General features: G+C 48.1%; 1 protein-coding gene and 1 long non-coding RNA gene across 2 annotated transcripts in view, besides 3 other annotated features; both read left to right on the top strand.

Annotated features, from left to right (window-relative positions):
• Positions 24-593: a silencer, noted in NCBI's record as "silent region_9287". NCBI's record gives its function as "represses an Ori minimal core promoter by ATAC-STARR-seq in GM12878 lymphoblastoid cells {active_cell/tissue: GM12878}" and the evidence as "EXISTENCE:reporter gene assay evidence [ECO:0000049][PMID:35858748]".
• The window catches only part of RAB31 (RAB31, member RAS oncogene family), a 154251-nt gene continuing 137753 nt past the window's right edge, over positions 329-16826 (top strand). The window contains exon 1 of the mRNA NM_006868.4: positions 329-472. Within this exon, the coding sequence (NP_006859.2) occupies positions 434-472 (39 nt within the window). The 5' untranslated portion in view covers positions 329-433. The remainder of the gene's footprint in view (positions 473-16826) is intronic.
• Positions 694-923: a silencer, noted in NCBI's record as "silent region_9288". NCBI's record gives its function as "represses an Ori minimal core promoter by ATAC-STARR-seq in GM12878 lymphoblastoid cells {active_cell/tissue: GM12878}" and the evidence as "EXISTENCE:reporter gene assay evidence [ECO:0000049][PMID:35858748]".
• LOC105371981 (uncharacterized) lies at positions 700-8384 on the top strand. The gene is made up of 2 exons (XR_935131.2): positions 700-2021; positions 8289-8384. It is a non-coding gene; the product is annotated as an uncharacterized LOC105371981 (long non-coding RNA).
• Positions 14834-14893: a silencer, noted in NCBI's record as "silent region_9289". NCBI's record gives its function as "represses an Ori minimal core promoter by ATAC-STARR-seq in GM12878 lymphoblastoid cells {active_cell/tissue: GM12878}" and the evidence as "EXISTENCE:reporter gene assay evidence [ECO:0000049][PMID:35858748]".

Below are 16826 nucleotides of genomic sequence, written 5' to 3' on the forward strand. Positions count from 1 at the left end.
CAGGGACCCGCTGGTAGTGGGGCCAGGTCTCCACAGGGCCGGTCCAGTCCTTCCTACCCACCCGGGCCCTGCGGCCAGGCGGGGCCGGGAGGGGCGGATGCCGGAGGGCGCTGGGGGAGGCCGACCCGCGCGGGGCTGGTCCGAGGGCGGAGGCAATCCGCCGGCGACGCCGCAGGTCCCGGGTGGCTGACGCCGTCCGGGGGCGTTCCTGGGAGCTGGGGGCCGGCGAGGCTGGACCCGACGCGCCCGGGAGGAGCCGGCCGGCGGCCACGTGACCCACCGCGGCGGGGCCGGCGGCCCAGAAATAGCAGCGGCGGCGGTTCCGCCCGCGGGCGGCGCGAGCGAGGGGCAGAGGCGAGAGACGCCGGCGGGGCGCGGGCGCGGCGGCCCCGGAGGATGCTGCTGAGCCCCGGCACTGCCTGGCTGCGAGCACATGATGGCGATACGGGAGCTCAAAGTGTGCCTTCTCGGGGTGAGTCCTGGCCGCCACCCGCCGGCGGACCCCGGCCCGCGCTCTCGCGCCCCTTCGCTCCCCTATTCCCTGCGCGCTCAGTCCCCGTGATCCCCTCGCTCTCCGCACCCCTCTCGTAGCCCCCGTCCCCCTCGTCCGCGCGCCCCCTGGTTCCCCGGGTCCCCCTGGCTCCCCTAGTCCGTGCGCCCCTCGCTCTCCGCGCCCCTCGCTCTCCGCACCCCGCCTGTTCTCCGCCTCCCCGCCGTCCGTGCGCCCCTCTGGTCCGCCCCCGCTCTCACCCTGCCGGGGTCCGGGTCCGAGCCTGCCCCGGGCTTACTCCGCTCTTTCCTCCCGGCCCGCGAGTCCCCGGATCCGCGGCGACCTCGCGGGGACCCCCAGCGGGGACGGGGCAGTGGCGGCGAGTCTGGGGCCCCGAGGGCTTTCTCCTCCGCTTTTGATAGTTTCCTTCCGGCAGAAAGTTTAAGTTGCTCAGCCAAGTCGCTGAGTGCTCTTTTGCCTCCTGGGGGCAATTGATTTACTCACGTAAAACAGAAAAATAAAACCAAAAGCGAACCCAGCCAAGGGGGTGAAAGCCGAGGGCGCGGCCGGGGTGGAAGGTGAGGCAGTGACCTGTGCGGAGCGCGCCCTGCAAACTTCCCTGCTGCGGGTGAAAGAAGCTGCCTGGGAAAGTCCTCCCCACCATCACTCCCCTAAAGTGGGGTTTTCTCCGCCCGAAGAAGCCTTAAAGCAGCCAGAAACAAAAAAGCAGTCAATCCGTGCGGCCCGGGGACTGCAGACAGGGGACCCGGCGAGGACGCAGGGAGCCGCTGGCGAACCGCCCCTGGGAATTCAGATAAACGTAGGGTCGCTTCCTTTCGGGGGCCCACTCCGCATTCCAGAATTCCTTCTTCTAAAAGAAGAGCCGGTTCTAAGGGCGTTTTCAGCAGCCATTAGCATCTGGTGTACCCGCCCGTGTCATTGGCAAAGCTGGTCTCATGAAAACCATTTCCTAAAAAAGGGCAGCGAAAGGGTCGCATTCTTGTGCGAACTGATCTGTCAAGATGGGGGTACAAGAACTGTAGAAAGAGGAAATGATTTCGGTGAGGACTGAATTGTGCCAGCGTCTCTAGGCTTCCTCTAGGCTCTTGTGGAACCTCCGGCAGGCTCCCATCATCGGCTCCCATCACCGGCCTCTTCCAAAACCATCCCTTACGCTAACTCGATTGTCCGGTTGGCTTAGAATTCCAGAGGATCTGGGAAGGCCCTGCCCTCCCTGCTAGCCCCTGGCACAGATCCGCACAGATCCCCACCTCCCCCGACTTGCTCAGCCACAGCCAGGATCTAGTCTGGTCTTTCTCTGTTGACCTTTTTGTGTGGCAGGAGTGGGTTTTCCTGTTCCCCAGGCCCTCTAATATTTCCAGACATAAATTCCAGGAATCCCATGCTTCCCTCTTGAGGGGCCATTTCAGCCTCAGGAAAGGCCTTCAGAGACTTAGAAGGAATGTCGTGTTCCAAGGAATGAAGAGGCAGCCTTGATGTGCCGTGTTTGTCAGGACTGGCCTTGGGAAAGGTGAAATAGGACATATTTTTGCCTTTTTTTCTGCAACTCTTTTCTCTTGACTTTTACTGAGGTGGTCCAAGCCCTGCCGTGTCACAGGACCCCTTATTTTCAGTTTCGGTGTTTAGGGACAGGTCTCTATGTCCTCCTACCAGGACACTGATCAGGTGGCAAGAACCCTGTGTCAAGAGGCAGGAAACCTAGGCTCTCGTTCTTTCCCACCAAAGAGCTGTGTCGTTTTAGCAAAGCAACTCAGTGGCCTCATCTATGAAATGGGCATAATAACATGTTCCCCCTTTAGGCAGAGGACTACACCAGATGATCTCTTAAGATACATGTTACCATTTCCTGCTAATCTATGAGTTCAGGGTGCCAATTAGCAAACCTGGGAGAGGAGGAAGCTGGAGGAAATCTCTTTACTTCTTTTATCTCCAAGAAAGATACACACTCTTTGAGTGGCTTCCTGCAGACAGTGCCTTACCTTTGCCAGTTCTGTGTGTAGGAATTTGAACTTGGAGTTGGAAGAACCATGCCAAAGCAGAGAAAGAAGAGGTTTCTGGGCAGACGGAGGCTTTGAAACATCAATCGTGGCCGGTCGCGTTGGCTCACACCTGTCATCCCAGCACTTTGGGAGGCTGAGGCGGGGGGATCATTTGAGGTCAGGAGTTCAAGACCAGCCTGGCCAACATGGTCAAACCCCGTCTCTATTAAAAATACAAAAAAAAGTTAGCTGGGCGGTAGCGGCGCATGCTTGTAATCCCAGCTACTCGGGAGGCTGAGGCAGGAGAATCGCTTGAGCCTGGGAGGTGGAGGTTGCAGTGAGCCGAAATCACGCCACTGCACTCCAGTCCGGGCGACAGAGTGAGACTCTATCTCAAAGAAAAGAAAACAAAAGAAAAGAAACATCAGTCATATCACACCACATTTGTGGCTTCCTTTTTTTTTTTTTGAGGGTGGCTGTAAGTTTCAGTTTTATTGAAATCAGAGGACATTTTATTTGAAAGACCAAATGACCTTGTTGTCCACACTGAGTAAGATTTGCCACATCCCCTCGTTTGGCTGGCTCTTTCCTGGGTGAGATGTGTGCAGCAGGCTGTGTTTCTAGCTGCTCATCCAATTAGGCTGATTCTCTGGGTGGGATAACATTGAGGGAGATCAAAACCATTTGACTGTCTTCGGTTTACTCTCTTCTCTCTCTCTCTCTCTCCTCTTTTTTGTTTTGAGACAAGGTCACATTCTGTCATCCAGGCTGGAGTGCAGTGGTGCCATCATAGCTCACTGCACCCTCCAACTCCTGGGCTCAGTGGATCCTTCTGCATCAGCCTAGGTTTATTCTCTTGATTCGAGAGACCCTGTGGATCAGTCAGTGCTAAGTCCAAAAGTCCTTTAAAAAATATATGTATATTTTTGAGATAGGGTCTCACTCTGTCACCCAGGCTGGAGTGCAATGGTGCCATCCTGGCTCACTGCAGCCTCAGCCTCCCAAGCTCAGGTGATCCTCCCACCTCAGCCTGCCAAGTAGCTGGGACCACAGGTGTGTACCACCCAGCCCAGCTAATACTTTTTATTATTTTTGTAGAGATGGGGTCTCCCTATGTTGCCCAGGCTCTTTCAACATTTTAACAGGAACCTTGGGCTCATTTGTGCTTTGCGTAGGGAGGTCTGTCTTTTCTGGGTGAAGTTTTGTGTGTGGCTGGCATTCAGCTTCCTGTTTTTTAGCCATGAGACACCTCCCTGAAGTCTTGCTATGACCAAGACCCTGACAGCCACACCTTCTTTCTGCCTGTTAGAATCACTTTCTGTCGGGTTTCCCTTATAAGGTGATAGAGAACATAGACTTCATAACAAAATATCACTCTCACTGGGAAGGCTGAGGGGTTGGTCTTTTTGTGCCTGGTACTGTGCTCAGTGGGGACTTGGGGACATGCTTCGCATTTAAGGTATAGGTTGTTTTAGGCATGGGCAGTAGGCGCTTTCAGCACAGGCTCCCTGCTGGTCACTCTTTGCTGTAGTTTCCTGCTCCATCCATGGGGTCGGAGGTCTTACCTCCTGACGTTAGAGTCATTTGCAGCAGGTGGGAGTGAAAGTGGGCCGGGTGCCAGGTCTTCTTTACCTGAACCTCTCCTGTCTTCCTGGCACATTAGGAATGTCCAAGCTTATTTCTATTGGTGAATGCTCCCACATGGGATGGATAATGGCCTGTGGAACATTCTCTGAATGCTTTGTGTTCTTGGAAAACCAAGGACTGAAGAGCGTTGGGTTTGTTTAGGTTACCTGTTATAAATTCTTGGCTCACATTTCATGTGTGGACTTTCTTGGGTTTATTCCACATGGGGACAGCCCAGCAAGCCTTTGTGAACGCCCTTTCCTGGCCTGAGCCGAGTCACCTGTGGAAGTCAGCCGTGCAGGAGGGTGTGCTTGATAGGGGGAAGCACCCTGGGCAGGACCCCATGAGTTTCCTTCTTACCAGGAAAGTGTCATTCGTCCCACTTTGTGATCTGAACTGGTATTATGAAACATGAAGCTTAAAGGCAACAAAGTATGTTAACAACAACAACAAAAAATACTTAACAAAAACAACACTGAGGCAGCAGCTGCTTCAACCCCAAAGGTGGAAAAGTTTCCCAGTATGCATTTTTAACACACATCACCATGTGGCAAGAAGCAGGAGGAAGGGAGAGAGTGGGGAGGAGGAGAAAGAGAAGGAGGGGACCTTTGTTTTGTTATCTCCTTGGGGTATTTGTGTGCGTGCACTTAAAAACTGCGTGCACTTAAAAACTGCTTCCTGATGGAATCCCAAAGAGATTTATATTTGGACTTTGGTTGTCTTGACAACAATTTAGAAATTCCTACCACTTCCTCAATAGCTGAGTGATCAGTTAAAAGAGCCGATGGCTTCCCTGCTTCTGGTAAGGAGCTTGTTGAAGCATCTTGTGATCTTTGTTGGAATGTATATGGTGGCTCATTAAAGAGCAGTCAAATACCTGGGATTTGGTGAGACATCTGGGTAATGGGTACTTCACCTATGTCCAGGGCCTTCGCATGGAAGGCCTCTTGTCTCCCCAGGGACACTAGGACGCAAGAGTAGAACAGATTTATACTCACAGTAAGGCAGATCATCAGAACTGTGCAACCTCACATGAGTTGCTATGAGCACTGTATGACAGAGTATCCAATAAGGTGATAAGAATTTGTTAGTGTTATTGTGGAAGGAAGTAATGCATAGGATAGTGGGTTGGGCTAGGTAATGATCACATTTGCTTTCCAAGTCTGAGATTCTAGTAACTTACTATTTTTTCTCCCGAGACTGGCATTTCTTGGGGAAGGGGGATGGTGGGGAGGGTTGAGTGGCTAGCCACAGCATTTATTTCTTGGCACAACTGATTCCTCTACTAAATTGAACCATTTGTGGAAAGTATGTTCAGCATTGGTGACTCTGGGTACGTTCTATGTTACACGAGAATAAATATGATATAGTGGGCTATCTTCCCAGCAGTGCCTGGCATATGGTAACACTGTGTCTTATGCACCCATCCCAGGCTGATGGAATCCATCAGGGTCCCTTTGTTCCTCCTTTGTTCAGGGTCAGCATTGCTGCTTTCATCCTCCCTCAGCTTTCAGAGCTCAGTGCATCTCTGGAGTGTGTATCAGAATCATTTGAGGAGCATTTTCAAGCTTCTCATGGTCCCTTCCCCCATCCCTTATGTCTTAATTTGAGCTGCTGTCACAAAAATACCATAGGCTGGAGGGCTTAAACAATAGACATTTAATTCTCACAGTTCTGGAGGTTGGGAAGTCTAAGACCAAGGCGCTGGCAGATCTAGTGCCTGGTGAGGGCTCGATTTCTGGTTTGCAGACAGCTGCCTTCTTGCTGTAACTTCACATGACTGAGAGAGTGCTCGGTCTCTTTCTCTTCTTATAAGGACGCCAACCCCATTCATGAAGGCTCTACCCTCACAACCTAAGCACCTCCCAAAGGCCCACCTCCTAATATCCTCACATTGGAGGTTAGGCTTCAAAATGGGAATTTTGTTGGAGGGACACAAATATTAATTCCATAGTACCTTGTCAATAGTGTTCAGGCATGTGGCCTCTACTTTTGCCCTGGCCCAATGACACTGTTTTAGTGAGTGTGATATATCCTTTAGGTCTGCTCTAAGGCCACAGCCATGAGAAAATAGGAAACTTTACATTTTAAGATGCTAGGACAGTGGTCCCCAACCTTTTTGGCACTAGGGATCAGTTTTGTGGAAGACGATTTTTCCACAGATGGGAGCAGGAGGCGGGGGATGGTTTTAGGATGAAACTGTTCCACGTCAGATCATCAGGCATTAGTTAGATTCTCATGAGGAGCATGCAACTTAGATCCCTCACATGCGCAGTTCACAACAGGGTTTGCACTCCTGTGAGAATCTAATGTCACCATTGATTTGACAGGAGGCAGAGCTCAGCTGGTAATGCTCACTCACTGTTCACCTCCTGCTGTGCAACCTGGTTCCTAACAAGCCATGGGTCAGTACCGCCCCAGGGGTTGGGGACCTCTGTGCTAGAACGCAAAAGCTTTTGAGTTCACTAATTGGAAAAGACCTTTAAAATTTAATTAAGCCTGGTAGATAACGCTTATTTGGTGTTTGCATGCCTGTGCAGATTTTACACTTTCATTTATCTTAGTTTTTATCACTTATGACATGTGTTTGAAAATGGAATAGGTATTCATTCATTCAGCCATTCACCATTTGTGGAGTGTTTCTTTTATGCTGGGAGCTGTGGGTGGCTGCATGTAGACAGGATGGCAGTGATTGTTGCCTTCCCAAAGACACGAACACACCAGCAGTGAGCTCTGTGGCATTGACTGGATTCTTATTATGGTGCTTACCATGGCCCACCATGCGGAACAGAAGTAGTGTGTTGTGATGATGAGAAATACTGACTGTCATCCCGCTTAGTAGACTTGACGGCATGGGAGGGACAGAAAGTTCTTGCTCCAGGTCTGTCTTGGGTACCTGCTGTCGCACAGTGCTGTGCTAACTCTGCTAGAGACAGAAAGTAGGTCAGGCAGGGATCTGGTCCCTGCCTGGGATGGAGAGGCTTCTGGTTGGTTCCTGTGCCACACGCACAGGAACACGGCCCTTGCTGATGGGTGTGAGGCAGGAGGTGTTGCATGTATAGTGGGATATGGTGGGAGTCAAATACAGCGGGGGCTGTGAAGTGGGGAGTTGGGAAGGTTTCTTGGAGTAGGAAGGATTTGAACAGTGCCTAAAGGGACAGGGAAGGAAAGGTGGGTGTGCACTCCAGGCCCTGGCAGGGGGCTTGGATCTCACTGTATTTTCTGGCACAGTCCCTCCCCTCCCAGCCTGCCCACTCTTCCATTGACACCCCCTACTCCCTGTCTCTCTAGCACTGGGTCTTTTATTTTTAATTCCCTTTGCCCCCTTTTTTTTTTTTTGAAAAATTTAAAACTTACACAGCAGTTGAAAGGACTATGAATGTCCCCTAGATTCAGCAGGAGTAACATTTTGTCACTTGTCCTTTGTCTCTCTCTCTCTCTTTTTTTTTTTTTTTTTTTGACATGGAGTCTCGCTCTGTCAACCAGCCTGGGGTGCAGTGGCACAATCTCGGCTCACTGCAACCTCCACCTCCTGGGTTCAAGCGATTCTCTTGCCTCAGTCTCCTGAGTAGCTGAAATCACAAGTGTGCAACACCATGCCCAGCTAATTTTTGTATTTTTTTTAGTAGAGATGGCGTTTCACCACGTTGGCCGGCTGGTCTCGAACTCCTGGCCTCAAGCAATCTGCCTGCCTTGACCTCCCAAAGTGTTGGGATTACAGGCGTGAGCCACTGTGCCCAGCCTGTCTTTCTGTTTATAAATAATACTAAACATTTTTTTTTGAACCATTTAAAAGTAAGTTGCAGACATGGTGGCACTTTACCCACAAATACTTCAGTATGTGTCTTTTAGGAAAAAGGGCATTCTCCTATGTAACCACAATACTATGCTCCCATCCCCTAAATTGAACATGAACACAGGGTATCAAACATATGGTCCATGTTCAGATGTTTCCAGTTGCCCCCAAATGTCCTTTCCAGCTATTTAAAGGGTCCAGTTAGAGATCATGTATTTCATTTGGTTGTCCTGTCTCTTTAGTCACTGTGCATCTAAAACAGTTCCCCTTCTTTTTTCCCCATGACTCTGGCATTTTTGAAGAAGCCAGGCCAGTTGTCTTGTAGGCGGTCCCAAGATCTGGAAGTGTCTGATTGTTTCCTCATTACTTCTTTCAGGTTCATTGTTTGGGTGAGAATACAACGCAGGCGATCTCGAGTGGTCTTATTTTTTAACGTGATCATGTATAATATTAAAATACTCTTTCCCACTTATCTCTGTGGCATTTATTTAAAAAAATTTCTTAGCTTCTGCAAGTGTCAGGCAGTGGTGTGTCTGACACAGAACTTTGACCTCTTGGAGCCTACATTTTAGCAGGAAGGTAGGGAAAATAAATCATATGGTCTGTTAGGAGGTGGTATGTGCTTTATGGGAAAAGAAGGCAAGAGGTGGGAGTGGGCTGGCGGGGGTGACAATTGAGTGTGCTCAGTGTCTTCAGAGCCCAGGATGGAGGCGTCTGCCTCTTATTTACCCGGGGATTGACGCTGGTCCTACAGCTTCCTCCTGTGGTAAGCTGCTGAGCTGTGGAGAGGAGAGTATGTCCTGAGGAGCCAGAGTGGTCTTTTTTGTTACCTAACTTTGTCAGCAGAAATGAGGAAAAGAAAAATGGAATTTTTATTTGAGACGGAGTCTTGCTCTGTCACCCAGGCTGGAATGCAGTGGTGTGATCATAACTCATTATAGCCTCGAACTCCTGGGCTCAAGTGATCCTCCTGCCTCAGCTTCCTGAGTAGCTGGGACTACAGGCGTGCCACCACACTTGGCTAATTTTCTTTCTTTCTTTCTTTCTTTTTTTTTTGGTAGAGATGGGGTCTTGCTGTGTTGTCCAGGCTAGTCTTGAATTCATGGGCTCAAGCGATCCTCCCACTTCAGCCTCCCCAAAAATATTGGGATTACAGGTGTGAGTCACTTTGCCCAGCCAAAAAGTGGGCTTCTTTTTTGTTTTTTTGTTTTTTGAGACAGGGTCTTACTCTGTCATCCAGGCTGGAGTGCAATGGTGCGATCACAGCTCACTGCAGCCTCAACCTCCCAGTCTCAAGTGATCCTCCTGCTTCCGAAAAGTCGGATTTAACATCAGGTCACCAAATGGGTTTTTCACTGTGGGATCTTTTGATGAGTTTTTTTCGAATACATTTCCTTGGTTTAGATGTCTCAGACCTGCTTGAATTCTCTAGAAGTCATGAATGTGGCTTCTGTTTGCACCATATTTAACCCAGAAGATATCTTAGGCTACTTTCAGTTCCCCCAGAGGTGCCTAGGAGACTCGAGTTATCAGAAAATTGAAGGGGCCTGCAGGACAGCAAACAGAACACAGGGAGGTCATTTCCCTTCTATTTTCTCTTCTTTGAACAGGATGTCACAGAGAGCTAGATGCCTTTCTATCAATGTATTTTTTTTTGAAGAAAAGGATACCTGCATTCTCCAGGACTACTCTCTGCCTTCATGGAATCACTTTCCTAACTAGGATCTGCAAATATAATGTGTCGCTCTGGGAGGGAAGGACAGAGGGAGAAAGTGGAGAGAAGAAGAGAGAAAGAGGAGAAGAGAAGAAGAAAGACAGAGAGACACGCACGTACACACACAGACACACGTACACACAGTATGTGGAGTATCACATAAAATTTGCCCACTGCTGGCAAGGAGAAAGAGCAAGGTGTTCTTGTGTGTTTGTTTGTTTTTTAAATAATCAGATTATTGGCCAGGGCATTTACATTTATGGCAAGGTTAATTAAGAAAGTTTTATTTATTTACTTTTTATTTATTTTATTTACTTTTTTTGAGACCGGGTCTTGCCCAGGCTGGAGTGCAGTGGTGCAATCACAGCTCACTGCAGCCTTGACCTCCCGGGTTCAAGCAATGCTTCTACCTCAGCCTCCCGAGTAGCTGGGACTATAGGTGCCCACCACCACACTTGGATAATTTTTTTGGTTTCTTTTGTAGAGATGGGGCTTGCCACGTTGCCCAGGCTGGTCTTGAACTCCTGGGCTCAAGTGATCCACCTGCCTCAGCCTCCCAAAGTGCTGGGATTAGAAAGTGTTTTTTAAAGTTCATCTCATGGCATCAATACTACGTAGTTAATTTATACTTCATTTTAGCAGCTAAAATATTTTCTGAATTTTTTTGTTTGTTTGTTTGAGATGGAGTTTTGCTTTTGTTACCAAGGCTGGAGTGCAGTGGTGTGATCTCGACTCACTGCAGCCTCTGCCTCCTGGGTTCAAGCAGTTCTCTTGCGTCAGCCTCCCAAGTAGCTGGGATTACAGGCATGCGCCACCATGCCTGGCTAATTTTGTATTTTTAGTAGAGATGGGGTTTCACTATGTTGGTCAGGCTGGTCTTGAACTCTTGACCTCAGGTGACCCACCTGCCTCGGCCTCCCAAAGTGCTGGGATTACAGGCATGAGCCACTGCAACCAGCCTTATTTTCTGAACTTTCATAATAAACTTCTAAAGAGCTAATTTTTTAAATTATCAAGTAGTTTAGTCTTTTTGGGCTGTTATAGTAAAGCACCATAGACTGGGGGCTGAAAAACAACAGAAATGTATTTCCTTCAGTTCTGGAGGCTGAAAGTCCACCATCAGGGTGCCAATACGGGCAGGTTCTGGTGAGGGCTCTCTAAGGGGTTGCAGACTGAGTCTTCCCATTGGGTAAGGGAGCTCCCTGGGGCCTCTTCCATAAGGGCACTAATCCCATTCATGAGAGCTCTAGCCTTCTGACCTAATCACCTTCCAAAGGCTCTACCTCCTAGTATTGTCACTTTGGAGGTCAGGATTTCAACATACAAATTTTGGGGATCACAAATATTCAGACCATAACATAAAGTGATGCATGCTAATTACAATTTGAAGGCCAGGCATGGTGACTCACGCCTGTAATCCCAGCACTTTGGGAAGCCAAGGATGGTGGCTCACTTGAGGTCAGGAGTTCGAGACCAGCCTGGCCAACATGGTGAAACCCCCTCTCTGCTAAAAATACAAAAATTAGCTGAGCGTGGTGGCGTGCGCCTATAATCCCAGCTACTAGGGAGGCTGGAGCATGAGAATCACTTGAACCTAGGAGGTGGAGGTTGCAGGGAGCCGAGATTGTGCCACTGTACTCCAGCCCGGGTGACAGAGCAAGACTCTGTCTCAAAAAAAAAAAAAAAAAAAAAAAAAAAAAATATATATATATATATATATATATATATATAAATAAATAAATTTGATCTAATTATGAGGGAGGGGAAATGATCTAGTAGTGAAATGATACATGCTGTTGTAGTTTTAGACTGTAGAGGTGAGGAATACAGGATGATGGCTTTAATCCCATTTTTTAATAATGACACATCATTGTATTAGCTGGCAATATCCTATTTGTTCTCCTCTTTAGTTTGTTTGTAATCCCACAGCCAAAGATAAGTCATCCTGCTTGCCCTCCTTTTCTGTAACACTCACCTCCTCATTTAACTTCTTTTTTTTCTGTCTTTTGTTTCACGTTCGGAGGACGGCTTTATATTTTAGGACCAATGTCAACCTCACCATCCTGCCCTGTATTTCTTCTGTTATGTCGCTGCTTTTTTTCTGCCCCTGCAGGATCATTTTCTTCCATCATTTTAATTTATTTTCTTATTCTCTCCACTTCACACGATGAGTCATCAGCCCGACCTCCTTGAAAGAGGCATCCAAGGCTTCGCTTTTACAGGAAAGTGTTTCTAACCCTGCTTTTCACTTGCTCCCACCCTTTCAGTGGGAGTGTGCCAAACTCCTTCCCGCCGTGCCACAGCAGGCACTCAGCAAGCCGCGGGGCACAGCAGGGTGCTGCCAGGGATGCCGTCAAGCCTGGCCAGGCTCACCTTTTTTTTTTAGATGGAGTCTTGCTCTGTCACCCAGGCTGGAGTGCAGTGGCACAATCTCGGCTCACTGCAACTTCCGCCTCCTGGGTTCAAGCAATTCTCCTGCCTCAGCCTCCCAAGTAGTTGGAATTACACGCATGCACCACCATGCCCGGCTAATTTTTCTATTTTTAGTAGAGATGGGGTTTCGCCATGTTGGCCAGGCTGGTCTCGAACTCCTGACTTCAAGTGATCCACCCGCCTCGACCTCCCAAAGTGCTAGGATTACAGGCGTGAGCCACCACACCCAGCCTGAAATCTTTAGTTATCAAAGTTGTATTACATGGGTGCTATGCGGTAGTTTCTGTCCTTGAGGTTTACAGTCTAACAATGTCCTTGGCCTGCTAGGGCGTACATGGGAAAAGTTAGGTAACAGTACCAGACATCCCAGTGGGATATCGCCAGATGCTTAGTTGCCAGATGTTCAGAAGGTGAGGGCTGGTGGAGTTTGGGGTGACCAGGGAGAGCGTGTGGTGTCTGCTAATGAACCAGAAGAAGGGCTGATGTCAGGTGAGGTGCGGAGGGGGCGTGTCTGGGAGCCGGTGGGAGTGGCTTCACTTACATGAGACACACACACACAGGGAGAAGGTTCCCCAAGATTCGGTGTCAGAGTGGTTACCTGCCTGGTGCGGGGGGTAGATTTGGGCCTATAAGTAATTTTCTCTTTTTTTTTTTTTTTGCTTCTCTGTATTGGTTTATTTAGTGAGCATGTATTACTTTGTGTAATTTCGTTAAAACCTGCAAAATGTGTTGCAGGGGACAAGGAGATGCTTGACAGGGCGAGATCCATTTGGTTCTTACTGGAAATAAGTGGTACACTGGTAATGAAATTGGAAAGTGACTCTAGGTCCGATTATAAAGGGGTCTTGCAGTTTGAGTTTATAGCTTCGGTGAAATGACAGGTCTGGCATCAACAGGATGCAGATTTGGCTTAGCAGGTAGTGCTGTGCTTTCACCTGTGCAGGTCGTTCTCTGGGGTCCGTGGTCCATCATGGGAGGGCAGCCACCTCCTTTTGGGGAATGGTGACCTCTTCATGGGGTGATATTTGGGCTTTTTCACCATTCTCTGATTTCCTATTCCTCAAAATGGGGTCTAGGAAAGTTATGAGCCTGTCTATCCGTCTTAGGGTTCTACAGGTTTTCTGTGTGTGGCATATCTGTTTTCTGTGTGCTGTTATTTGAAAAATAAATAAAAGTATATCCTGTATCTTCCAGGTCATCATCCTGTCACAGAATTCTGTGTGACAACGTTAACGTCATTAATACTGGCTAAGGAGAAAATAACCGATGTAGAGTTAGTATACAAATAATTGGGGTCGACCGGGGACAGTGGCTCATGCCTGTAGTAATCCCAGCACTTCGGGAGGCCAAGGCAGGCAGATCACTTGAGGTCAGGAGTTCCAGACCAGCCTGGCCAACATGGTGAAACCCTGTCTCTACCAAAAAATATAAAAAATTAGCTGGGTGTGGTGGTGCATGCCTGTAATCCCAGCTACTCAGGAGGCTGAGGCAGGAGAATTGTTTTAACATGGGAGGTGGAGGTTGCAGTGAGCTGAGATTGCGCCACTGCACTCCAACCTGGCTGACAGAGCGAGACTCCATCTAAAAAAAAAAAAAAAGAAATAACTGGGGCCATGTGAAGACCATGTGATTCTGCAGCACATGCAGCAGGTGTTTACTGAGTGCCTGCTGTATACCAGGCAGTTTCTAGGGGTTGGGGGAATAGCAGGTAACAACATGGACTGTCCCTGACCTCATGGAGCTGATATTCTAGTAGGGGTGACAGGCGGTGCACAAATACCGAGTGTGGCAGATGGTGAGGGGTGCTGTGGAGAAAAGGAAAGTGAGGAAGGGCCCTGGGCATGCTGGTTGGGAGGAGTGTGGTTTCAGGTAGGGGCTTGAGAAGGCATTTCTGAAAGGAGGCATCTGAGTGAAGATCAAAGAGACAGTACTCAGGGCAGCCATGTGTGCCACCAGACAGAGAGGTCTGTGAGGCTGGAGCAGGGTGGATGTGCCTGGTGAGTCTGAGGAACAGCAGGCGAGCAGTGTGACTGGGGCAGGAAAGAGAAGGGAGGGAGAGGAGGGTGTAGAAGGGGGTTAGGTCAGGGAGGTTTGGGGCTGGATCAGGCGCGGTCTTGCGGGCTGGTGTAGGAACTTTGGCATTTCCTTGGAATCAAGTGAGAGAGCTTGCTAAGGTTTTGGTACAGAGCAAGGACATGATCTGACTTAGCTTTTATGAGATTGCCCTGGCAGCTGTGTGAGGGCTGACCACAGGAGGATGCAGAAGGAACATGGGAGCGGTGGTGACTTCCAGAGTGTAGCAGCAAGGTGGTGCACATGATCCCATGTAAGCTGTGTTTTGAAGGTAGAGCTGACAAACGTTGCTGATGGACTGTGTATGGAGCACAAGGGAATTAAACCATGACATGGTGCATGATGCGTACCTCGGAATCCAGCCACAGTGGAGCAACACTGTTCATCATGTGAAACTAATGTCAAGTGGAAGGTCGTTGGCTTTATAGTTTAATTTGTATTTAATCAATGTATCTGTGTCTATTTTGTAGTTTCAGAATAGCACAGTTTATGTGTACCCTTATTATTTGTGTATATTTATACAGTGGAATAGTTAATGACTACCTCAGGGTCCATGAGATTGTTTTTCCCCTTATGAAAGTATGTGGAGTCTTAAAGGGGCCTGAGAAACCCTGCTCTAACCACTGTGATTATCCAGGGACTGATGGAACCGATCTGTTCCCTTACGAAGTGTCACAGTATTGGCAGGACTCTGGACAAGGACAAGGAAGGCTGCATTCCTGTGGCACCACCAGGTGGAAGATGGAGGTATGTTCTCAGGTATGGCCAGTGTCTGCCAAGATGCAATTCCTCAGCTCTACAGTTTTACTACTTTTTCTGGTATGACACAACTAATAGACAACCTTGCAAATCCTAGCTACTCCCATGACTAGATGCAGATACTATTGAAACCTCAGAAGTCTGTGTTGCAAAATAAAGCAAAGAATGCAATAGGTTTTGTTCATAAAAGCATTTTTTTTTTGAGACCAAGTCTCGTTCTGCCACCCAGGCTGGAGTGCAGTGGTGTGGTCTTGGCTCACTGCAACCTCTGCCTCCCGGGTTCAAGCAATTCTTGTGCCTCATCCTCCCGAGTAGCTGGGATTACAGGCGTGTGGCACCATGCCCGGCTAATTTTTGTGTTTTTAGTGGAGATGGGGTTTCACCATGTTGTCCAGGCTGGTCTCAAACTCCTGACCTCAGGTGATCTCCCTGCCTCAGCCTCCCAAAGTGCTAGGATTACAGGCGTGAGCCACCGTGCCTGGCCTGTAAAAGCATTTTTATGAGCATGTGAATAATGAACTCAGTCATTTCAAGATCTTCCAAAACAATTCATTTGTTAGGGAATTGTTAGTAAATATGGCAAATAAAAATTTTTAAAAATACCTCTATTTAAAAAGATGAGTTATATATATTATTTTTCATAGATTAATCTTAGCAAGACAATTTTCTTAGTCCATTTTGTGTTTTGTAACAGAACACCTGCGACTGGGTAATATATAAAGAAATTGGCTCACGATTCTGGTGGCTGGAAAGTCCAGGACGGGGCAGCTGCATCTGGTGAGGGCCTCAGTCTGCTTCCACTCATGGCAGAAAGTGGAAGCGAAGTGGGTGTGTGCAAAGAGATCACATGGTGAGAGAGGATACAAGAGAGCAAAACCAAATAAGCCAGACTCTTTACCAACCGATTGTTTCTGGAACTAATCCATTCCTGCTAGAGTCAGAACTCACCCACCCCAGTGGAACGGCATTAAGTGTATTCATAATGATCCATCCCTATAACCCAAACACCTCCCGCGAGGCCCACCTCCCAACGCTATTACACTGGTGATCAAATTTCAACACAAGTTTTGGTGGGGACAAACAGACTACATCTAAAGCATAGCAAGAACCTAGTGTGTAATATTGTATAATCAAAATATAAGTATTTAAAAAACATTATTCACTTTGGGAGGCCGAGGCGGGCAGATCACAAGGTCAGGAGATCGAGACCATCCCGGCTAAAACGGTGAAACCCCGTCTCTACTAAAAATACAAAAAATTAGCCGGGCGTAGTGGCGGGCGCCTGTAGTCCCAGCTACTTGGGAGGCTGAGGCAGGAGAATGGCGTGAACCCGGGAGGCGGAGCTTGCAGTAAGCCGAGATCCCGCCACTGCACTCCAGCCTGGGCGACAGAGCGAGACTCCGTCTCAAAAAAAAAAAAAAAAACAAAAAAAAAACATTATTATTGAAATGATACTTCACATAATGTACTGATTTACACATGTTGCTACTGTTAATGAGAATTGCATGACTGGACACTTCATTTGCATCAGCGCTTTGCTTCTGACTTGTTAATCTTAACTGTTGTGTCACAAATAACCAGATGTGCACATTCTTATTTGTGCTTATGAACAAAGTAGTTACACTCTACTTGTGCCTTCTTTATATGCCCTTGGCTTCTTCCTTATTAAAAATATCCGTGGGTGAAAGAAAAACAGTAATTGTAGACTCACAGGCACTATAATAATTTGTAATTGCTTCTGCTGTGAATCTCGGCAACATCAGGAATGATTGAGAAGGATTGGTACATAGCCCTGGAATGCACGCCTTTCTTTTAAGGAAGCGCTTCAGAATGCCTTTGATTAAGAAGGATGTCATTATGCAGATGAGCTTGTAATTGTTCTAGTGTTTGAAAAAGGTAATAGCCCCATAATCCTAAGCACGTAGACTTGTACTG

This window comes from Homo sapiens, chromosome 18 (assembly GCF_000001405.40).
Source record: "Homo sapiens chromosome 18, GRCh38.p14 Primary Assembly".
Lineage (NCBI taxonomy): Eukaryota > Metazoa > Chordata > Mammalia > Primates > Hominidae > Homo > Homo sapiens.